Source organism: Homo sapiens, chromosome 8 (genome assembly GCF_000001405.40).
Source record: "Homo sapiens chromosome 8, GRCh38.p14 Primary Assembly".
Taxonomy (NCBI): Eukaryota; Metazoa; Chordata; class Mammalia; order Primates; family Hominidae; genus Homo; species Homo sapiens.
Window position 1 is genome coordinate 71,297,299 of NC_000008.11, and position 25,497 is coordinate 71,322,795.

The 25,497-nt window shown below is 36.3% G+C and overlaps 1 protein-coding gene across 27 annotated transcripts in view; it reads right to left on the reverse strand.

Annotated features, from left to right (window-relative positions):
* EYA1 (EYA transcriptional coactivator and phosphatase 1) overlaps positions 1-25,497 on the reverse strand; it is a 350,662-nt gene that overhangs the window by 99,866 nt on the left and 225,299 nt on the right. For 12 of the 27 annotated variants that reach the window (NM_001370333.1, NM_001370335.1, XM_047421523.1 and 9 more), the window contains 5 exons: positions 24,901-24,970; positions 24,436-24,581; positions 20,254-20,391; positions 2,340-2,422; positions 1,749-1,935 (listed from right to left, as the gene is read on the reverse strand). In NM_001370333.1, coding sequence (NP_001357262.1) covers positions 1,749-1,935; positions 2,340-2,422; positions 20,254-20,391; positions 24,436-24,581; positions 24,901-24,970 — 624 coding nt within the window. Of the gene's footprint in view, positions 1-1,748; positions 1,936-2,339; positions 2,423-20,253; positions 20,392-24,435; positions 24,582-24,900; positions 24,971-25,497 lie in introns of those variants that run through there. The other 15 variants (XM_047421528.1, XM_047421524.1, XM_047421519.1 and 12 more) reach the window with 5 other exon arrangements.

Genomic DNA, 25,497 nt, shown 5'->3' on the forward strand with positions numbered 1-25,497 from the left:
GGAAAAATACTCACTTAGAACAATGTCTGGTTTCAGAGACAAACACTTATATCTGACCAAATGGCCTTTTCAAAAAAGCTCTAATCAACCTTAATTTAAGAAACACAATTAAGTCTTCAACAGTTTATTTACAATGTAGTATTCACAGCCAAAATATCAGAAATTAAATAATATTATTCGCTGTCTCCTCTTCTCTTTCTATGACTCTCTAGATCCTAAAAGAGGTTTGCTACATCTCATTCACATAATGATCTTCATTTCAAAACTCCTTTTAGTTTTCAGGAAGCTTGCATGACACAGGTGGTTCAAATGAAAAGGCAAGATCTCCCTAAAGTTGGGACAAGCCATTACCTTTCCTCATGATGCCTATATGAAGTTTATGTAAGTAGAGAAAGTTCTATAAGAACTCCTATAATAAATTCAATGCATTCTATAATAAAATTTGTCTTCAGTGTCATTATATAGATGTGAAATCTAATTAAAGGAAGAGAGAGATATGTATACTCAGTTCTATGAAAACTGTATGTACACATGTAAACTGAATGAGGAATCAGCTTAGTTTTTGGAAAATAAAGATACATGGAATACAATTATCAAAGACAAAAATATTTAAAGTTAAAATGTGCAGCAGAAATAATGAGCATTAGAAGTTAATTGAAAGACAAGAATGATGAAACTTTAGAATAAAGCAATGTCTGCATACTTATTTTTAAAAGGAAAAAAACGTGGAACATGAAAAATTTTGAAGACTTTTGGGGGAGAAATCACCCATTAATATTTAAAATATAATTCTATAGTCAAAAATTAAATTAGCATTTATTATACAGAACTTTTTTTCATGATTTAGGATAACCTAGAATGCATACTATGATTATAATATCAGAGAGGTAATTTTTTCAATGTTAAGACCATTTTAACCTGACTTGTAGCAATGGAGTGGGCTTTAGCTCTGGAAACAGGCAAGAGGAAGAAAACTTTGACTCTTTGAGGATAATAGCTTATTTTGTAATCCATGAAAGGTATGATTAACTCTTTAAAAAGTTAAGGCAAGGAGGTGAGAAGTATGTGAAAGTATAGGAAACGTTAAGTAAAGACCAATTCAGGAAATCAGGCAGACACCATTAAGAGTTCTAGAAAGAAAGAATCAATGAGGGGAAGAGATATCAAAGACATCATGTAGGAAGATTTCCACATGGAGAGGCTGGCATTTGAAAGAGACCAGCAAGGGAGTTGTGCAGAAGCATAACAAATGCCCAAACTCATGACACATTGTCATGAAATTCACAGCAGGCCACATGTGGGAAAGCAGAGGCTCACTTTTGATTGTTTTTCAAACTATCAGCAAGATATTACTTTGATGAAAAACACTAAATATTGAATAATGATAAATGCCAAATTCTAGGCATTGCCATTTTATGCTCTATATGTGGTGCCAATGAATTATAGTTATAGCTAAGTATTTATAATTATGCATCTCAAAAACTACACAGATCTTAAAAATTGAGTATATTTACAAATAAAATCTCTATTTCATGTGCTTTTGATGTTTATATACTTTATTTTAAAATTTCAAGCAAATAAAAAAATAAATAAAAATGAATGCCACAGTCATGCTGCTTGACTTATATTTAGTCCTTGCCAAAAGCTGCCAAAATTGTGCAACCACTGCATGAATATATGACTGTAGAAAAATGCATTGAAACCATTGAAAATATCACCTGCAGGACTAATAATATTCACATAATTACCTGCTGTGGGATCTGTAACTGCTTGGCTGGTGATGCCAGATGGCGGTTCTTGAAGCTGGTAAGTGGCATTGGTGGATGGTGTCGTTGGGCTGGTGTTGCTGCTGGTCATATAATGTGCTGGATACGGTGAGCTGTTATAATACTGTGCGTACTGACCCTGGCCAAAACTGGGATAAGACGGATAGTCCTACCAAATCAAACCACACAAGAATTGTCTGTCAAAATACTGCTGCTTATCTCTTACATATCAAAGTGTAACTGTAAGTATGTTTGGGTTTCTGAGCCTTTTCTGAATTCACACGGGGGCATACAAGTACACATTAACTAAAGAGCTCAGACTTGCAAACAAATTTTATGTAAGATTATACACATTCTTCATATTTTTGCTTTTCTATGATGCAATACTAGGTAAAATTAAACCAATCTGAAAACCAAACAACTCACCACAAAAGACTGCTAAAGTGAATTTTAAAAGAAAACTACTAAAAGCCTTAGGAAAGCTCTCACTTATAAACAGATCTTTCTTTACATAAGAAAATCATGTTGCATTTAAAGATATTTTTCAGAAGTTAAACTGGCTTTTTAAATTACCTGCTGTGAACTATTAAATCCAGAGGAATTTGTGAGTGAATTATTTCCTGTATATATTCCTGATGATGTTGTAAAACTGCTACCTAAAACAAAATGAAAAGAAATACGATTATACCAGGCTTGTGGAATAATGTGGGTACAGGAAAATAGCATTTAGAAAAGGCAGAATTGGTATTTGGTTTATCTTCGACACTAGAATCTGTTGTCATGTCTAAAATGTAGTTTTCTTAACATAGTTGATGATTTTATTTTTACTACAAAATTAAAAAACAAAGAGGTTTAAATTTCCAAGGATGTTAGTAACTTATATAGACTAATGACAAAATAATACATTTGTGTAAAAATATTAGACAATGAACTTTTCAATTTGCAAAACACACCAAGATTTTTCATGTCTTTATATTAAATTCACATAATGTAAAATGATGGGGTCAGATTAGATGATCTTTAAGGTTCTTGCTAGCTCAAAAACTATGATACTACTTCCAAGAACTTAAAATGCTTTCAGACTTGTATTATATGGTCATTAAAATGGCGTATGGAAAAAGCCATTTCATTTCACAGAAGAATGAATGGCAGCACCTGATAAATTTGACACAACAAAGATGAAAGAAGAATATGATTAATGTTTTATCTGTTACATATGCTGTCAAGATAATGTTCTGTCTGTTGAATGTCCACATTGTTAAACAATGAACAGTAGGCGCTGTGTAAGATACAACACCTGAGCAAAGCTGGGTTCCCTCTTTCACATGATTTACTATTTTGTTATTAAGCTATGCAAAACAATAATATGCTGCCATTGATAATCATATTGGCGAAAATTTTTTTAAGAAGGTAAGATCAGGGATTGGGAAATATATAAAAAACGGCATTCATACACTGCAAAATGGGAATTTACATAGGCACAATCTTTCTGTTTGGCTATTTGGCTTATGATTGAGAAATTTCGTATGCCATTTAACCCAGCAATTTTATTTCAGGCATTTACTCTAAGAAAAAAAATTATAGATTTATACAAAGAGATAGCAAAGATATTCTTCAGTGTTGCTTCTAATAAGAAAACCTAGGGAAGCAGCCCCAACTCCATAACAGGTACTATTCAGAAAATGGAATACTATGAAGCTGTTTAAACGGTATTACAATGATGTTTAATGGCATGAGAAAAATTTTCATATTATTTTGTGAAAGCAAAAACTAAAATAACAAAAAGTATTTTTGATGATCTCATTTAAAATATTTTTAAAGCATGACAAATTTTCAAAAAGCACAAAATTCTAAGAAATGCTGTCTCTGAAGGATTTGATATATGGTCACATAGCATTCATTAAGCCAATTTACATTTTTAAGTTTTCTACTCGGAACCTATGTTGCTTCTATAATTAGAAATAAAAGCCATTTTTTAAAAAGTTAGAGTTTTACGGCAAATGAGCAGTATAGGCCATAAATGTGTTGGCAGTTCAAGGAGGAATCTCTTCAATGTGAACTCACTATTCAGATGGCTCCAGGTATAAAATGTGGTAATATATGCCAATTATTTACTTGCTACTGAACATTTAAGTATTGGCTTAAGAGTCAGAAAACAGAGTTTCCAGTTCATCATTTATGAGCTATTTGGACTTTGGACAAGTCTCCCAGCCACTCTAAAACATAATTTCCTTATCTGCAAAAACTCTACTTTGCAGTGTTCCTAACAGATCAGATGAGGTAATGTTTTGGAAAGCATAATGGACACTCTACAATATCACATAAACATTAGGCACATTATGGTTTATGGCAGCAAGCACTTGTAAAATTCTCTATTTACGTATCTTTTCCCTCTTTTACTTTCCCGAATTAGATAAATATGACTTAATCTCTTTACATATCTAAAATTCTATTCCTATTTACTTATCAAGCATCTATGAACTTTAAAAGCTTGAGCCAAGAATTATTTTTATTAAGAAGGGAATCTATATCCTAAAATAGTGTTAAATTTAGTTATCACAGAGACTCTATTTGAGGTTTCTTCATTTGTATATTTCAGGAATATCAATTGTTTGAAGTTCCCAGAACACCTATCTCAGATAGGCAGAGAGCTCTCACAGTGCTAGTAGCCACCACAATTAGCCATCAATAGACAGGCTTCACATATTAATGTTCATTTGCATGTGGTAATTACATGCAAAGGAAACATATATTCAATGCCAGGCTCATGGTGACAATTACATGGGGCTAAAAGGATGACTAAGACATAGCCTCAGACCTCACAGGGCTTATCAGACTACCAGTTTTTGTTTTTTTTTTAAACATTGTCCCTTACAGGCATATGACTCATTCTTTACGTGCATATCAGTGAACAATTTATTATTGATATTATATATAAAGCAAACTTATACATGATGAACATTTAAAAATGCCTTGTAAAAGAAATTTTAAATTACTTTTGGATAAAGATGTGGATATCAATGCTTTTTTAAAAGAAACTTCAGCTATTATATGCATTTTAGAGGAAAAATTACCTTGGGTTATGATCCGTTACTTTCATTTAAACTATACATTTTTAGGTTACGACTTGCTATTTTCATTTAAATGACAGAGTTTTAAGCAATAAATACTGACCTCAATAATCCCTATCCACCAAGAAAATGAATAAGATATAGAAAATATATTTTTAAAATGGATGTTTTCATTCTATAAGTTATCCCCTGAAATGAAGTAGGAAAGACCATGGAAGCTATATTGGCACACACAGGCCACGAGGGTCTGACCAAGTAAATCACAGTTCAGTACTCCAAATGGCACCCAAGTGACTTTCCAGACTAAATGCTACTTCCAAGACTGTACATTAGCTGGAATTCAACATAAGTTATACTCATTTGCTGGCTGACTGCAGGCTGAGATTCCATTCCATTTAGTATGCCGAAACAGGAGTTTAATGGCACCCCAGTGGCTTTGGAGACTTAATGCAACTTCCAAAAGGATCTTACTTTAGGGAGAGGTGTACATACTAGAGAATCAGGCTCAGGCAATATTAATTTTTCACCACCAGAATCAAGTTCGCAGGGCCACTCCACCTGCCTTCACATAGGACTTAGGCAAACAGAGCTGCTAAACTCGGACCAGGCCACAGCAGGGGACTTCTGCAGCAGCCTCCTCTACTGGTTTCTTTACCCATCTTTGGGTACTGTCCAGCCCATTCTCTGCAAAGTCAGTAGACTCTCTAATGTGCATGACTGATCTTGTCACTCCCCTGCTAAAAAAAGTAACTTTTAATGGCTCCCTGTTGCCCTCAGGATAATATTCAAACTGCTTACTAGGGTTTATGTATTAGGCCTTAGCTGGTCTAAACCCAGTTTATCTTTTGAACTTCTTTGGTCTTTTCCCAGCAACTGTGACTCCAATGCACCCGGGCATACATTCCAGCCTAACCCTAGTAAACCAACATGCAGCAGGCTTTCTAATGTTACTCCTTACAGCTCCTACTTCCTCCTGTCAAATCCAGGTTAACTTTGATTGCACTTCACAATTCAGCAGAATTTGAAATCCGCTTTCTCAGAAAAGCCTCCCTGAATCCCCATTCTCTCCTCTTTCCCTCTAAACCTGGGTTGCTGAATCAATCCACCTATCATCTGTCCATCTATCTCCATGATATATGTGTGTGTTTATCAATCTCTGTGATGTACGTACATTTGATATACACACACACACACACACACACATCCATGACTTACTAATCAGTATTTTAAGCCAAGTACTAATTGACCTGTAAACTAACAAATACTAATTATATGTAAACTAGTCCTTCCCCTACAAAACAACTAAAAAAACTTCGACATTCCTATAAAAAATTGGATATTTACACCTAACCCATACAAATATCCCCAGAGTGCAAAATATAATAACAATACTAGAGGTGTACATACTAGAGAAGCAGGCTCAAGCAATATTAATTTTTCACGACCAGAATCAAGTTCGCAGGGCCGCTCCACCTGCCTTCACATAGGACTTAGGGTCTGACCAAGTAAATCACAATTCAGTACTCCAAATGGCACCCAAGTGACTTTCCAGACTAAATGCTACTTCCAAGACTGGAACATACAAATATCCCCAGAGTGCAAAATATAATAACAATAAAACAAAATACCCATTGAGTACTCTCTCTATGTTAGGAAGTAGGCTCGCCCGTACATGCTTCACCTATACTCCACAACAACTTGATACTACAGGGTGTATGATCATTCCCATTTTGCAGATAAGGAAACGGAGGGTCAGGTTACAGTAACACAGCTCCAAGGAATGAAGGTGAAACACAAACACAGATCTGTCTGGTTTTAAGGTCTATACAATGCTGTCTTGCCTCCTCTTGCTCGATTCTATATTGTATAATGGGAAGTTCTGATATACACTAAAGTTTTCCCAGGCATTATTTTATAAAACAATTATATTAAAATAATTTATATTTATATCTTGTAAATAATCTCAGGGATTATTTTATAATTATATTAAAAAGTGTTAGAAGCAAAATAGAAGTGACAAGAACAAATAATAATACTTAAACATTTTTGAGTGCTTACATTGAGCCAGCCCAAATAAAGCATTTTGCCTATTAGAACTCACCGATTCCTCACAACCACCCCAGGAGGTGGATGCTGTTACATCCCGTTTATAGACGAAGAAACTGCCAGAGGTAATAAGCAACTGTGGCAGAGCTGGGATTCAGTCCCAGGCACCTGGCTCCAGAACTGACGCTCTTAATCTCTATAGTAAATTGCATCTCAGAATGGCAAGGTTTTTGTCTGTGAGTTATTTCCCTTTTTTATGACCATTTCCAAAATATGCCTGACAAACTGCCTCAGAGTCATTAGGAAGTGCTTATTCTTCCTAGGCAAATACCTGGGCTTCCCTTTCAGACACAGAAATCAGTCTCACTGAGGCAGAAGGACTAGGGTGTGATCTGAAAATCCACATGTTTACCAAATACCTATAAGTGTCTGATTTTTAGTACCAATTCAGGAGGTGTTATAGCAATTGCTTCAAAAATATGTAACTAGTATAACCTTTCTTCTTATACACTAAGAAAGTAATCATTCTCTTCAAGCATTCAGAGCTGAAGCTTCTCAGAGCCTATCTGTGTGGGGTATTTCTGGTTCTTGAGCTGAGCTAAAGATCATCTGGAGTAAGGGGCTCCACTTTGATAGCTAATTCAATGGAGACTTCAGTGCCAACACTACCAGATGGATTTCACCGAAGTTTAGAACGCCACAAAGCAAAGGCAAAACAACAATGCTCATGCTCCCCAGAAAGCTTCAGTGTATGGGCTGCTAGACTCACTTGCAGGCTTAGCAAGAGAGGCACATTTGTGTAGAAGGCTGTCACACACCAGGCTTGAACCTGGATGCTAGAGAGAGACAGGATAAGACATGACCAGGATAAAACAGACCTCCTTCCCTTAACATCAATCCACTGAGAGTTTCTGTTGGATTTGCAAGGGTCTTCACTTACAACTTTTGGTCACAGAATTATTTGTAATGTTTGGAATTCTTTAATCAAAATAATATAGAAGTATTTTCTTTTCTAGAAACAAATGACTTTACATCAAAAGACACCTCCAGATAAATAAAATAGAGCCGCTACATCCTATAATGCAAGGTTTTACATCACATTATATCATGAAAATTCCTCAAAGTAGAAAGAATTCCCATTATAACCCATTATTTCTCAATCAATAAGTTTGGCAGAGATTGCTTCATGTGAAACTTCAATAATTCTCAATAGAGTTTGGGGTGGGAGTGGGGATACCTTCTTACTCATTGGTTAAAAGGAAAAGCTTACCTAGTTATATAACTATTGGCCAATATGGTGAAACTCTGTCTCTACTAAAAATACAAAAATTAGCCGGATGTGTAATCTCAGCTACTTGGGTGGCTGAGGCAGGAGAATCACTTGAACTTGGGAGGCTGAAGTTTCAGTGAGCCGAGATCATGCTATTGCGCTCCAGCTTGGGTGACAAGAGTGTAACTCTATCTCAAATAAATAAATAAATAAATAAATAAATAATTGTTAACAATCATAGTCATGGTTATTATTATTTTTTTTTTGACATGGAGGGGAGACACTCATTTCCACAACAGGAAACTGGAAAATTTTTCCCTTCACAACATCTCTTAAGATACAGCATTATTTGTCCTTCCACTGCTGTCTTTTAAAGTTGATTATTTTTATATTCTAAGTGGGAAGATACTATATCTCTAATCACACGCATACGCACACACACACAGCTTTTCAAGTTAGTTTCATTAACAGCATCTACTGGCATTCTTTATAGGTGCAACTCTAGAGGTTGTTGTGATGCAAAAGAAGTGGGCATCATGAACCTATCCCTCGAAGAAAGTTTGAAAATCCCACACACTCATGAAGATGACACAAAGAACATCACCTTGCATCACCCACCCAGGTGTCACAGCTCTCACTGTGTTACTCACTTGGGTGCCACAGCCCTGCTAAGGAGGTGCTCAGCAAAATGACATGAAGACACCTGGTTAGACTGGGAAGGAAAGCACATGCTTCCCCAAAAAGGGAAGAAGTGTACTCACTCCTGGCACAGGGTGAGAATAAACTATCCAAAGAAGATCAGAGAATAGAAAGTTTTGGGAAGTTGGGTGAGGAGTGTGACTGATCGTGGGTGATGGAAGTTTCTTGATCATTTAAGAAAAACAGCTCAGGAAAAGAAATGGCATCCTTTAATGGCAAAATGCAAGAATCTGAATGTCCAACAAATCATCATTAGTATACTGGGACCAGTGAAATGTTACGATTCTGAATTGCCGGGGGTGGGGGAAAAGCTAGAGAACCCTTACAAATGCAAGGATACAAATGTTTATCTGGGCCTGGAGATGCCACTCGGGGTTTGGGATGGGGGTGCTCAGGAGAATATTATAACCAGGCTGTTGCCTACAGCTCCCCATGCACAGCTCACCATGGTACTTTAGGATGTGATCACTGCTATATCGGAAACTCACCTTGCTCAGTCTTGCTCCTCTTAATGCTTCCCTCCCTCACTCCACATTTTCCATCCTTCAAGGCCTCACCCAAGTCTCATCTGTCCAATAAGCTTTTCCTTGACTGTTACTCTTTGTACTGAGTTTATCTTCTGGAAACCTGAGCTCCCTAATAATTGATAGCAGGTAATTGACCTCTCCATTAGACCAGTACTAAGCAAGTCTCCCTTAGTCTTGTTTTCATTCTGACCTAAGTTCCTTAAGCTCATTTTCTATATTTATCCTGTCTGCCTCACATAGAGATGGATAAACCATGTCTGACTCATGCCTTTGAAGGGCTTCATCTAGGCTGGAGTGGGAGCCAGAACTGTACTGTTGCTTGATAATTTCAATCCATGTGGTAAGTGACTAAAGGATTTAGTGAGAACACGATTGTCATAAAGTATTAGGTGTGGGGACAGGTGAGGACCTTTCCATAGATTTTTGTTGGTGGGGAGGGGGACAGTTTGGAAGAATGACTTTAAGGCCCACAAAAGATTTTAAGAGAGAAAAGAAGGTCTCTCAACTTTTTCCATCAATTTAAAAAAGTGAGTAGGGAAAGAAAAGATAAATAATAATTGAGCTTATTTCTCAGACTTTATCTGGAGAACTTTGATATTTAACAGATTTTATCTGAACACTTTGCTGGGATTTTTTTATTTTTTAGAGACAATGTCTCACTCTGTCACCCAGGCTAGAGTGCAGTGGCATGATCTTGGCTCACAGCAACCTCTGCCTCCCAGGTTCAAGCGACTCTCGTGCCTCAGCCTCTTGAGTAGCTGGGATTACAAGCGTGTCCGTCCCACCACACTCGGCTGACTGGCTTCTTTCAAACTACATGATGTATAAAGGATTATCTTAGAAATCAGATTATAATCACTATAGATTTAAATTATATAAAGAAAGTTAAATTCTGGACCTGTAAGCACCTTCTGAAAGGAGTTAAAATATTTTTGAATCTCCAGTAAATAATCCAGCAGACTTTAAATCAAATAAAATTTTAAGTTGATTAAGTATCCATGGATTTTTACCTCATAAAATCTCACCTATTTGAGCGATGAATACCACTGGACCCCAGACATGGTACAAGAACTTCGCATCCACATACCATCGGAGCATGCCGCTAGGATGTTAACCTTGTTAGTCCAGCTGTCAGGATCCTAACAGAACACTGACGCATGGTCCAGGTTCTGCCCTCCTAAGAAGGCTACTCACTCTCATAGCTCAGACATTGGCATATCACAGGTATATTAATGAAAACAAGTCTTGCTTGTGTAAGAAAAACTTCAAATTCAGAATGCAATAACATCCTATGGCTTTAGAGTACATTTATAGTTCAATCTTTCCACATCCATTTTCTGAGGTTATTTCCAACATCATCATGTGAGATGGCTGAGGCAGGGTCCTCGTCTTCATTCAAAAAGTAGAGGATGGATAAGGTGACCATTATCTCTGGTGCCAGGTTATGGTTTTCTAATCTGTCATGCCAAATCTACCTTTTAGATTTTCTGAATCGGTAATGTTGAAAGCAAATTGGTATTAAGTGGTATTAATTTTTGGCTACACAAAAATCATAGACACACTAAGGGCAGAAATAATCATACCTAAGACATTTAATAAATACATTTGGAATCAAAGGATCCCATTTTTAAAGGACTTCTTCATTGTAACTCCGTTTTAGGCTAGTAAATTTAAAAGTAAATTACATAAAGTGTCCCAGGGACAGTGCATCACAAAGATTTTGCTTTGCTTTCTTCTTATCAATGTTGGCTTCCTACAGAGAAAGAGTGGTGGCCTTGTCAACCATAACAAACAAGAAACAGTCTTGCTTGAAGATCCTATATGGGACATGCAGTTCTGTAAGTGCTAAGCAATTTTAGTTTTAAAACAAACCCATCCCTCAAAACTTCTCTTAATACATCTTCACTACCTCTTCGTAGTTAAGAACACAGCCTATGTCGATTTAAACATTACTTAAAATATTAAATCAAAGTTCTGTGTATGATTTAACCTGGATAATACTGCCCAGTTATAACTTCAAAAAGCTTTTTTTTTTTTTTAAGAAAAAAAAAAAAGGAGTAACAAGTAGGTCAAAGGTCTGCTTCACAGAGAACAAGGACTCACATTAAAAACCAGAATCCCAGCCAACATAAGAATGCTGGAACCTGCTGGGGCCTGTCTGTACTTGCCATGTTTTAGAGCATTTTCTAGCACTTACTGGGCAAGCAGGATGCTGTTTGTCCCTCGTGTATTTTCACAGAAGTCCATTTGCTTTCCATCTCTGGCCTCTTTGCCATGGGCTATGTCCATCATCAAGCACGATCTATGTGGCAGAAGTTAGTGCAGCTCCCTGGGGAAAAGCTTTCGAAGGCCAGATGGGCTATTTAAAACCAGGATTTTCCCCCTTCCTTAGAAGATAGATTTTAAATGACCAAGTTTTCCTTTTTGTCCCAGTAATAGTTTTTATTTCCAAAGAGAACTTTTAACACAGGTTATAAAGACTGCAAAGCCTTTACATTTACCTGTCTTGATATATTTCTATATATTTTAATTAAAAACAACTCATGAAGAAAACAATGTTGGTATGGGTCACTAATTATTGCTGTGCCTAGATGTCAAGAAATTTTTATCCAGTTTTTAACACCTGAAATATACAAGATGCCAAAAGAAGTGAAACAAAATATTACTTATACAATCAATTTAAGCAAAAAAAAAAAAAATCTAGAACATAAAATGCCAAGAACTAAAAAATAAATATGAGAAGAGTGGCAAAGCAATTAAGGGGCAATTCTGCACATCAGTGCAAGCTGCAATAGCTATTCTTCAATTTCATTTTACGTCAGAAAGTACAAATCTCAAATGCTTTATCACAGATTACTTTTTTAAGCTTAATGTATATTTTCCTAAAACCACTATCTTTTAAAGTAAAAATACCTTTTCTATAGATAATAAAAAAATTTTAAAGCATAACAGCATATTTAGTTAAGCAATTTTTAGGTTATAAATGACTAATAAACTTAAATGGTTCAGGCGTACATTTGAAAAGCTACAGAGAGGCAGATCAAAGGAAACAAGGGTGATGTTACTGGATCATTCCCACTTCATAATGAGGCAGGGATGCATGAGGTGTGATGGCCGCAGAGCTGTGCCTCTTCCACGTACCCTTTAACAAACCTCTGCCCTGATTTATTGTCTTTCCTTACTAGTTTGAACCCCAATCTCTTTAGCAGAACAAACAACATTATACACAAAGAGGGAGTGAGAATTTGTGTTATTTTCTTCTCTAAGTGAGAGCAATAAAACCTAAAGGAAAATAAACAAAGCAGGGTTTCCAGGGCCCTCTGAGTTTAGTACATGTACATCTGTGCAGCCCCTTCGATCTATCATGGCAGATCCTGACACCTTCCCTGGTGTGGGATGATGGGAATGTCCTATACCATTATTGATATTCTGGGACGATAAAACACTCAGAAAGGCATTCTATACCACCATCGTGATGATTCTGTGATGTCTCCAACCAGCTCTATCTACGAGTATTAACACAAGGAAAGATGGCATTAAACATACGATGACAATAAATTAGCTGAAATGTCTTATTTATGTTTTATATATATTTTTAACTTTTAAGTTCAGAGGTACATGTGCAGGTTTGTTATGTAAACTTGTGTCATGGAGGTTTGGTGTACAGATTATTTCATCACCCAGGTATTAAGCCTAGTACACATTAGTTATTTTTCCTGATCCTCTCTGTCTTCCCACCCTTCGTTCTCTGACAGGTCCCAGTGTGTGTTGTTCCCCTCTACATGTCCATATGTTCTCATTATTTAGCTCCCACTTATAGGTGAGAACATATGGTAGCTGGTTTTCTGTTCTTGTGTTAGTTTGCTAAGGATAATGGCCTCCAGCTCCATCCATGTTCCTGCAAAGGACATGATCTCATTCTTTTTGTATAGCTGCATAATATTCCATGGTGTATATGTACCACATTTTCTTTATCCAGTTTACCATTGATGGGCATTTAGGTTGATTCCATAACTTTGTCTTTGCTCTTCTAAATGGTGAATTAACTGAATTTTTATTATGCTACATTCCAAATTCATTTCCCCAAATGAAGAAAATCAGAGTTTTTTATGAACCTTAATTTCTAACATTCATTGTGACATAGACCTCTCCACTTCTAACAAACATTTGTATATTTTAGACATAATACTAGATACTGGAGATTAAAATATGACTAAAGATGTTCATTACCTTTAATAGTCTAGAATCACTAGAACTAAGCTATTATGGAAAGCTGGGTTTTCCACAGAGCTGAGGCTTAACCAGTTAAATAACAACTTAATTTTAATGGTTTTGTTTTGTAGGTGTGTGAAAATTGTTTGCACGTGAACTACAGACTGCCTTACCTCAGCCAAATTGCTAAACAAAATTTTATTTTCCTCATATGATTGGGCACCACCATTATAAAGATAGCTCATTGTTTTCTGTATTAGATGGAACCATAAATCTATATTATATGTGGAGTTAAATGGATAGCGACACCAGTGATAGGTACAGACCTTGCATTTTTAAAGGTTTGATTTCAAGTTAGTTGTTTCTTTTACATAAAAGGAGAATAAAGGTTATTTATGACACACTGGGGAGATATTCTGTGAAAGCAATCAGAGGCCGAAGCTGCTTCTGCTAAGCAGTTTTCTTACCTTTCATGCATGCGTGCACACACGCACAAACTCACACACAACACCCCGTTTCACTATTGTGGCCAGTGCCCTTTGATTGGTAAGCAGCAGTAAAAACATATTGTTTGCAGAACTGACCCAAGGGTCTCCAGGCACACTCTGTCCATCCACACCCACCCATTCAGCTAACTCATCTGCATCAGCTTTGTCAATGGTGTGTGAAGAAAAACCCCCTCAGACCATTCCAAAACTTCTTCCAGAAAAACCAAAGCTAACACTGCGGAACAGGAAAATGTCAAAAATGAATAAGCAAAGATTTCACCTCCTCAGGTTGAACTCTACAGTTGTTTATGAAGAAGAACACTTTGTCTTTCTCAGCTGAACTTAAGTTTCTAATCTTTTAGTGGTGCACAAAAGAAAAATTAAAGCATGAATAGAATTTTCCAGTGATCTTACAGCAAAGGTGAAAACAATCAGATTTCCCAATCACTGAGGTTTTATTTCATGGAATTTTAGTATTAGAGCATGCACGACGAAAATCTGATCCTTGTTTAGTTTAAAATGGCATGTGTCAGATTCACAGAAGCCTGCTTGGCAGGACAGAAGTGTTGAAAGTTGGAGCTGAAAGGGTGATTCCAGAAGGATCACTTGGAGCAAATGAGGGCACCAAGTAAGGCTGGCCCAGTTCACAAGGTTTGACAGTGGCAAAATGGCCGTAAATTGCCAAATCTGCTCTTAAAAGGCTGTGCAAGTGTCAAAGCACTGACAGTGCTCAGAAATGAGTTTTCTAAGAAGTTTTTTTTAGAGCTTCATGAATTGGTGTTTGACTAGTTATATAACTAAGTATGTAATGCAATGGTTTAGTTCTAACGATCAAGCCTGCCCTTCAGAAAAATTTAAAGACCAAGCAACAACATTTTGGCTTTTTGTAGTTTTCTTTAAAAGCCACTCCTGTGAGCTCTGTAATTTAGGTGTATGTACAACAACGAGGTCTGACAGTTCTAAGCCATTCTCCGTTTTGAGTAGCCATTCTTAACTGTTGATATCATACAAACTAAATTACTAATTTTATGCATTCTTTAGCATTTTCAGGTTCTTATTATTTATTTATTATTTAGTTAGTTTTTTGAAAACACAGTCTCACTCCATTGCCCAGGCGGGAGTGCAGTGGCACGATCTTGTCTCACTGAACCTCACGGTCCCAAGATTCTCCTACCTCAGCCTCCCAAGTAGCTGGGATTACAGGCACGTGACATTACACCTGGCTAATTTTTGTATTTTTAATAGAGACGGGGTTTTGCCATGTTGGCCAGGCTGGTCTCAAACTCCTGACCTTGGGTGATCTGCCCACCTCGGCCTCCCAAAGTGCTGGGATTACAGGCGTGAGCCATAGGTTCTTATCTTTTCAAAGTTACTGTTCAGAGTTATGTAAAGATTAAATAAGATGTCACAAGGGAAATAACTAGGTTAGTCCTTGGCATATAAAAAGTAAACAATAAATGTCAACTGTTATTTTATTTTGTTGTATGGGCACTAGAGTTTTCCATCTCTACATAGCACAGCTTATCACATTCCCATCTTCTTCCCTAATTTTCTGAACTAAACAATTTGATGCTTCAATGACTGGTGGAGACCTCTTTCTCCACCCATTCTTAGCACTCAGAGATGTGACTGCAGGGCCCATGACCAACAAGGACTTGGTTGATGACTGTCTCTCTCCCACCACCACTGCAAAGCTGAGTTTATTTTTTGCCAGCGGCTCTTCCTTGCTTCCCCACTCTCATTTTCCAACACCCCATTCACCACTGCTGCCATACAGCTTTTCCTCTCTCCTGATTTTTTTCTTCATGTTGTTTCTCCCCCGCTTTTTCGGTATCATGTACAAAAAGCTTGACCTTTGTTGATAGTAAGTTTCCTTCCATGCCAGCATATTAATTACATCTGGCTCCTTTTTTGCTATGCTTATTTGGTTATTGGTTTCTTAAAGTTCTCTTTCATGTCTAAAATATATTTTGTTATATATATTATTACACATATTAAAATTTTAATTACACTTTGTGTGTTGTGGGGGGAAGAGAAGGAGCATTTAGGTAATGCTACCTAATCTGGAACTATTCCAGAAAGCTGGACCATAATGATAATAATGAAAATAATAGTAATCACATCACCACTGCAATGAGAGCAGTAAAATTGACAACAATCATTTGAGTTCTTACTATGTACCACAGGTTGGTCAGAGTGATTTACAGACAATCTCAATGATATCTCACAACAGTATTGTGGGAGTAGATCTCATGCCCATATTCCAGATAAGGAAACACATGTGAAGGAGTCATTGCATGCTGAAGGCCCACAGAAAGCAAAGGTAGAACTGCTGACAGCCAATCTTACTCCAGAACCCATACTGCTAACCAGGAAGCCAGATTTCACTGTACCTTTACTCCAGTCTTTCTAAGTCTGATAGAACCAAAGAGCTGATCATCATAAGTTTTCTTTAAATTAATCAGCAAAACACTTAGAGGATGCATACATGTCACACTTCAGTTTTTGGGGCTACTAGAATATTTCCCCTGGGCTACTAGAATAGTTCTTCTATCATTGTAAAATTCTGATATTAAATTTGAACAGGTAAATCTCTGAATAACTAGTCATCATACCTTATATTTTTAAAGTTGAAAAGATTTCCCGGAAATAAAGCTAGGCAAAAATATCCCCCATATTGCCAAAATATATTCTCATCCAGGATTCAAATACATTTTAATAGCTATAAGATGAAATTGATAAAAGCAAATAATCACTGTTATTCATTAAGGATTAAAAGAACTGAGGGAATTTTGAAAATAATTTTAGACATTGTAGAAATTGCTATATTAAAAAACATGTATTAAAAAGACACTCAAAGGTCAACAGACTCCCGCAACTAGGTGCACAAAATCATTGAATAATGAGAAGCAGTATACATACTGCATTTAATATTTAAGAACTACGTATTAATCACAATTAAGTACCCAAATCTGGCCATATACATTCTGTAGCAAATTATATAGCATTATCCATCATCATTTTGGCAAGTTAATTTTCAAATTAATAGTATATGATCATCTGGCTTAATATGTGGAAGTCATATTACAGGTTGAATATCCCTTATCTGAAATGCTTGGGACCAGAAATGTTTTGGATTTTGAATTTTTTTCAAATTTTGGAATATTTGCATTATATACTGGTTGAGCATTCCTAACCCAAAAATCTGAAATCCAGAATGCTCCTATAAGCATTTTCTTTGAGAATCACGTGAGTGCTCAAAAAGTTTTAAATTTTGAATCATTTTGGATTTCAGATTTTTGGATTAGGAATACTCAACCTGTATATCCAATAGTCTAAAACTGAGTAAATTATCATTATAAAGATAGTCATGTGAAATAATGCCTCAGTCATGGGAAATGGGTCCTAATGTCCCACAGAAAGGCCATTCAACTAAGGGATGAATAAAAACACACAAAAAGTTTTAATGCAATATCCAGTAAGCCCAGATGATAATAAATCTATGGCTAGAAAAGCAGTGCCTAATTTGGTGCTATACATGTCCTTATTTCTTTTAAATGATAATTTTATTTTCTTCCAAATTCATTTCCTTTTCTACTCATTCATTTCCCCTTTTTTATGCACTATACTGTAATGGCTGGTTTGTCTTTTTCTGAATTGTTCCTGCTGCATAAGTTTTGATCTGGGAGAAGAGCAAGATGAAAGTAACTCTCAAGCACAATATTTCTCAAACTATCTGAGGTCCAGGATTGGTTTTTTCCTCCAATCCTTCACAGACTGACAACTGAGCAAAATACAAAGTAATGTACTTCTAAAAGAAAAAAAATTTTCTAAAAAAAGAGACAGTATAAGTCTCATTTTAAAAAATTATTATTTGATTCAATAAACATAAAATTTATTATTGACTGACTATGAAAGTTTCTAGATGCTAACTCTCAGTTTCTGTACTTAGCTTTAGCTTTTGGTGGACGGGTAATGGCAAGGCTGTGGATGGGCGCAGGCCCAGAACCATACAATTCTGTAGCTCTGCTCTGGGCAGGGCACTTCACTTGCCTCTTTCCCACTTTTAGGATCCACTTCTCCTCAAGGAGACCTGGATACCACGGGCACCCTGCTAGACCCTGGGACCCCTCCAGCACTCTTTATTTTCCTGATGTCTCCCGGAGGAATCTGCAATTGCATAATTTAGTTGGTTGCTTGTCTACTGTCTCTCTCTTTGGCAAGAATGAAAGCTCTATGAGCAAACAGACCTTGTCTGCCTTATGATCCATTTTATTACTAGAGCCTAGGACTGTTAAATTCATTAATAAAGTCTTTCCATCACTTTTTGTTCTTTATATTCCTTTACTCAATTGATATTCAGCATGTGCAGAACAGTTCTTTTCCAAGGCTGCATAAAAGTTTTGGAATGAGGCACATAAATAATATCCTTCTACCAATAAATGCTATCTGTTATAAAATAGTTTTTATTTTATAATCACTGAATATGTCAAAACTTTACAGTTCAGGCCTTTTGAATCAAATGCAAAATCAAATATGAAAAGGTTAATGATCTTGTCCACTAAAATTGTAGTTTGCCATACAGGAAAATAGACTCTTAAAAATGATAAATAAAAAAAAATCATTCTTAAGGAAACATATTAATAAGACATTTAAAAAGGCTAAGATCTTTAATGTGAAAAATAATAAGATAAAGATGACAACCACTGAAGAGAAGAAAAAACGTTTTATGTTTTTTCTAAATGTGTGTAAAAACAAAATCTTGTACCTACCAAAATGACACTTTTTTCAAAGAAAGGTATCAAATGTGTATACTTTAACACACAGCCCTTCCTTGTGTAAATATATAGGAAATCCTTAAAGGAGCATAAAACAATTTACTTAGAAATTCTATACTTAAACTTATTCAAAGGAAATAATTAAAGGTGTGTAGATAAGATATGCATAGCATTGCTCTAAATGTCAAATAGTAGGGAACTAGGTAAATAAGATATATCTATTTAGGGAATTAGTCAAGTAAGATATACCTATTTAGCTAATTCCATGTAGCCATCAAAAGGATACCATAGAACAGAACTTATTGATGTGAAAAGATGATTAAAATGTACTTGTTACTAAAAACAGCAGGCTGCAATACTGTATTAAATAATGAGCCCATGCTGTATATCTAGACAAACATATATCATAATGATAATAATAAATGTATGAGACTTATATTTTTGCTTCTCTGTATTTTCTAATTTGTCTGTGATAAACAAATATTATTAATGTAATGAAGAATAAGCTAAAATATACAAAAACAATAACAACTATAAAAAGAACCCCTTCAATCAAAAAGAGATCATCAGGGATTTAATTCAACTATGGATTGGCACTATTAGGAGGCCAAATATGATTCGTTGAACTGAACTGTAGTAAAGACAAGATATTAGGAAAATGTTTAAATTATGTGAGAACTATTCTCAAGCACTTTAAAGATCTATTTGCAAGATAACAATGTGCTAACTTTAAGTAATGTCTATGTATTCTTGAGACCAGCTTTGACAATGACAGCTGTCATTCCATTTGACTTGTACTTACATTATGTTTTGTCTATATTTTCAAAAACAGAACCCAGGGACTGATTCTTACAAGCATTTTCTTAAAGATTCACTGGGTGTCTGTAAATCTGATCAAGCTGTTCTTTGGGAGATCATTATTCAACACTTATCACATACTTTATTTCTACAGCTATGACTGTCACTCCCCAAGCTTCACTTCATAATGAAAATAAAGAATACAGCCCTTTTGGAAAAGTTGGATGGTAATACCAAGTGCGTAAGTTTTTAGTACATGCCATATCACAACCTCCTACGTGGCTGACTTTTGACTTTTTCATTTCTTTTATAACTGACAGAAGACACAAAGGCAAAAATGTCAACTTCACAAAAAATCTTAGTGCTTTTTGGAAAGAATGTTATAGATCATCCAGTCTAACCCCCTGATGTTATAAATATGGAAATTTAGGCCTAGAAAATAGGTAAGTGATGAATCAAACTAGAAGCAGGTGTCCTGCCTCTAAGCCCAATCCAGTTGCCATCATCATTTACTATTTACATGGAACATCAGGTTCTACTTTAGAAGTTAACTATCAACCTACAGGGTTAAGGAAAATAGCAATGTGTATATACAGACCTTGCATCTGGTAGCTGTATGGTGCCTGTCCAGGTTGAGGGGTACTGAAGCTTGTGCCATAGCTGAGAAATCCTGTCTGTCCAGGTGACTGAGACTGTGACAATCCACCTTCAGTCTTGATGCCTGCCCACAATGCACCTAAATCAGTTAGTGATAGCTTATCTATCTGTCCATTTTCAAAAGCTGGTAAATATACAAAAACATACACTTCCACAACCGTTTAACTACAAATGCTTCCCCAATCTTATCTCAAAAATAAAGGGTATACATGCATTCAGTGAAATACCATAAAGTACAACTTCAGTTTTTTAAATCCAGGATTACAGATTTGAATGTCTATTCACATTATTCTCTCTTGTTTTATTGCACTTCAAGACATATCCCTTCTATAAAATGTAACTCCAGTGATATATTTTCATACTTAATTTTGTTGTTTTAATTATGTAAGAGTTGAAGATCATCTCCTTCACAGTAAAGAAATAGCCATAATTAAATTTTAGCTAAATGTTCCCAAAGTTGCTATATTGACTAGTGTTAAAAATAAAATCCTTTTTTATATTAAAAATATTAATTAGATCCTATACCATCACAGTATTTTTCCCTCCTTTACTCTTTCTACTACAAAGCTGATTTCAGTACCAACTCATTTTGAAGTCCAAAGAAGCAATACTGGGCACAGAACTAAACAACATGGTGGAAAGGCTTTTCCTGAATATCTAGGTCCTATCAGAAAATAAGCACAAAGGAAGCAGAACACTAATGAGCTGAATCTTATAAAACAGCAGTGATTTATAAACAAGTGAGGTTGACCAGCAGTTTCCTTTTGTCCCTGTTAGTGTGAAATATTTGACTATAATTGTTTTCGATGTAGTCTAAAGTACCTTTGTTTTTATCATATGATAATATAAAAATGATGTATCTGTGGCCCCCAAATACTTCCCCAAACACCAGGCTAACATCGTAATTTTGGGACTTGGATTTGGCAGCACTGAGGTATGGGGCTCAGCTCTGTCTTTAATTAATTACAATTAAAGACAGTCATACATGTTAACAACTCTCCTTCATTCTCACAGAGGGAGGGAAGAAAAATTTCTGCCGAGGGAATTCACATTTTTTAATAATTTTGCTTCGTACTTAAGATAAATGATATCTTTAGGATCTAGAATACACAGTAGTCTTACTGTTTATTTCCATTTTAGGGGAATCTCATCAGCAGAGTACAGCTAGGTAATTGTTTTAAGGCAGTGGGAGAATCTGACTCTTGGCTGAGAGTGCCTACTTTAATTCCTGCAGTATCTCTAAATAACTTCATAATGACCTTAACATTTAAGTCTTAACACAACCTTAACATTTTAAAAATGTGATTTTCCCTGTAAAGGTGATCCCAAACCAATGAATAACCCACACATAGAAATGGTCCCTGGAAATACACCTGCCCCAGACAGGTGGCATGATGGCTTTAGAAAATCCCTTTCTTTCCATGTTGTCACCCCTAGGGATTTTCCACCTCTTGCTGCATTTGAGACTATACTGATCTGCTTCCAGCCTTCACCTATACCAATAAAATACCAATAATTCATGTATTTTTTTTTTTTTTGAGACGGAGTCTCGCTCTGTCACCCAGGCTCGAGTGCAGTGGCGCAATCTCAGCTCACTGCAAGCTCCACCTCCCAGGTTCATGCCATTCTCCTGCCTCAGCCTCCCAAGTAGCTGGGACTACAGGCACCCGCCACCACGCCTGGCTAATTTTTTGTATTTTTAGTAGAGACGGCGTTTCACCGTGTTAGCCAGGATGGTCTAGATCTCCTGACCTCATGATCCGCCCGCCTCAGCCTCCCAAAGTGCTGGGATTACAGGTGTGAGCCACTGCGCCTGGCCTAAGTCATGTATTTTTATTCTGTTTCTAGCCTATTGGTTCCAGATGGGGATCTTTGTGATAAGAACATGTAAGGAAAGGCAGAAAGAGGTAGAAAGCACCCATAGCCACACCTATCTCTGTGACTTCTACCTACAAGGTGGCAAACTCATTTCACTGGCAGACTCCAAGCAGATCCAGCAAAAAAACAGAATGAATTTGTGTTTCCCCACTGATCTATCATTCTCATGATAAAAAGATACACCAACCTTTTCTTACAGGGTCTAAATAAAAAGTCAAGAGTACAAGTCCTTGGAGAAAGTTTTGTAAGACCATCTGAGCCTTGACTATCAGCAGTTAAAACCCAAGCTATGTGCTCTTCCTTCATGAATGAGCAAAGGGGAGAAGGATGCCATATTTTTCAATGCACTGGCCCCCAAAATAGAACTTTTGGATCAGAAGTACGCAGGGCATCTCCTTCTACTCAAGTTCCCAAAAGAGAAGATGGGGGTTATTAGGAAAATGCTAAGAACTGAAAATTATTCCCTGGGAATTTATAACCATGGAAAACTCTGGAATCAAAGCCCTTCACACTGAGCCTCGCTCTCTCCCCCTCCCTTATCCCCATCTATCCCATTAAAATCCCCATCCTCACTCTGCTAGTTCTTATTCTATTCCCAGATCTTTTGCTCATCTCACACTCTTTGAACAGCTATTTCAGACAAGGACATTCATTAATGGTTTAGAACTGGAGGAACCCCTAACCCAGAGCTCAGAAATTGGCAAAGGGAGATGTCCAGGTCCCACCAAGACTGAATGGGGAGGAGAAGGAAGAAGAAAGATGTGTGGCTGGTAGCCAGGGCAGTGATGGGAATGGCACCTTCCAATGGCAGCACTGGTAGGCTGACAGTACTTTAGAACTGTGTGGACTGGAAAATACATTTATACTTCAAATAACCATCTCACAAATAAATTTTGAGAACGTAAATCAAAGACTGCCTTGACTTCTATTATAGAATGGGAGCTGATCCTTTTTCTTCTTGTAGTCCAAGAATAGTTTGAAAGTAAATTCCAGCTAAATTTAATCCATAGCTAATATTATTATGAGAAACTGTGAATAAAAGTTATGGAAAAGAGAGATAGTTTTAAAAATTCCATTTTAGGGCTGTCTCTAAAGTCTACTTTAAAAATACCTATCTAGAAAACATTGGTTCTGATGGTTTTAAAATAAAACTATAAATGCTGAAGTCGTACATAATTTAGATTATTTGTATATATTTTATAAGAAATTCATATACAGTTGATTTTGTTTGAGATAGAATTAAAAGGAATAAAGTAATTTACCTTCTAATTATTAATGAAATACTTAAAGAAGAGCATTAATTCTTTTTATATACCACAGAAAAGAATACTACAAAACAGTATCAAGCAGAAGCACAATTAGAATACTGGTCACAAAAAATTCTGTACTTGTTGCACAGAATTACTTATTCTATCAATCCTTTCCTCCAAGTGTCCATGTACTATTCCTTGATCACTAGTTTTTATTCTTTTCTTAATAAAATGCCAATAATTCAAGTGTTTCTATTCAGTTCAATCTACTTAGAATTGCAATGACAATTTAATGGAAGAAAAGGTATTTTGAAATTCTGAAATTTTTTTAATTAAGCTTTGGGATTTTGTTGGATTTATTTTTAATTTACAGGTATTGACCCATAAAAAGTGAGTTAAATTACACCAAGATAAAGATAATCTCCAGGTGGGAAGGAACAAATGTCCATGTGAGCCTTAAATGTTTCCCGATTTGCCTCTTCAAAGTACACTCCAGGCAGTGATATATAGATCACTTTTCCTAATGGTTGATAATGCTGAAATTTGAGACTATTACCACCCTCGAGTTTAAAGCAAGAGTTTGTTGAATTCTACTTGTACGTTCCTAATCACAGCTAGGCATCTGATAAATAGGAAATGAATCTGTACCCCAAAAGACTTCATTCACAGACGTTTTATCACAAATATGCACAAAAATATTTTGGATTCCAGAGCCCAGTGCTCAAATGGCAAATTCAGGGTTGAGATGTAAATCGAGAAAAATGAGAGCAAGAAGGCATACGAACCACATAATCTTTTCGCTACCTCTGACCTCAAGATAAGGAGCTACCAGTTCTTATAATGCTCTTTAGAAACAATCATACTAAGAATTTAGACACAGAAGGTGACAACACGTTCTAAATTGGCCAAAGATTGGGTCTTTAAGTACCACTCAAACATGTTAATACACGCATGCCCATGCGATAACGCCACCACTACAGTTGCAGGTTACTCACCATATGAGGAAATGCCGTACGGCTGTCCTGGCTGTGGGTACGTGGCATAGGCTGTAGCTTGTTGCATTCCTGTGGTAAACTGTGTTTGCCCATATGCAGCCATAGTTTGTGAGGAAGGGGTAGGGAGAATATGTGGGTATGGTCTGCTATTTGTCAGAAATGACAGAAAATAGAAAGCCCATGCATTAGATGGAAACATGCAAACCGATTAACAACCACATCACAAATTCCAGCTAAATATTGTATCTTAAAGTAAAACTTTCACACAGAATTGACAAAGCACTGAAATACTTCAGTGTCTCCACTACATGATGCTCAAAATAAATTTGTATCAATATGTTTACATCTCTATGAAATGCACTTTCATTTAAATTAAGATGGAACATGTGGGCACAGACATGACTTTAAATAAATAAAAGTCTACTCAGAGAAGTTATTTATTGATTAAGAGAAAATACATCTTACTTGGAAGGGTAAATCTGTGGTGGAGAGAACTGGTGAGTTGGTCGTGGGCTGAAACTACTGCTCCCAATTGCTGGAAAACAAAAACAAAACAAAATAATGCACAATAATCCAAGCAAAACACAAAATATATAGAAAGCACTGACATATTTTCAACTATAGGTTGGCCATATGAAATTTCAGATATTTGGTCTTTGTGACCTGCGGAGATGGAAATTTCATATGGTTCCACCTAACAGAAAGTTAAACTATAAAGAGGAATGAATAGAAACTGATTAAGGGCTCTAGTTTTAAATGAACTCTTAGAAAACGTCATCACAATCTTCGCAAATACCTGCTGGCATGCTGTGAGTTTTTACAGTGGCAATACTTAAAGAGTACAAGGAGTCCTGGCTACTGTTTGGAAAGCTGTGCTGAAAGGGGAGGTATGAAGCTGAATTGCAGGATTGGGTGAGAATGTGAAAGGTCAGCTGGCCTATTGTTTGTGCTCAGCAAGAACACACAAACCTGAGGCTGTATTACCAAGAAACATGGTCTAATCTTCTCTCGGGTGAGAAGAAACAGGATAGATCCTCATTTGCCTGCATTGATTTAGCAATG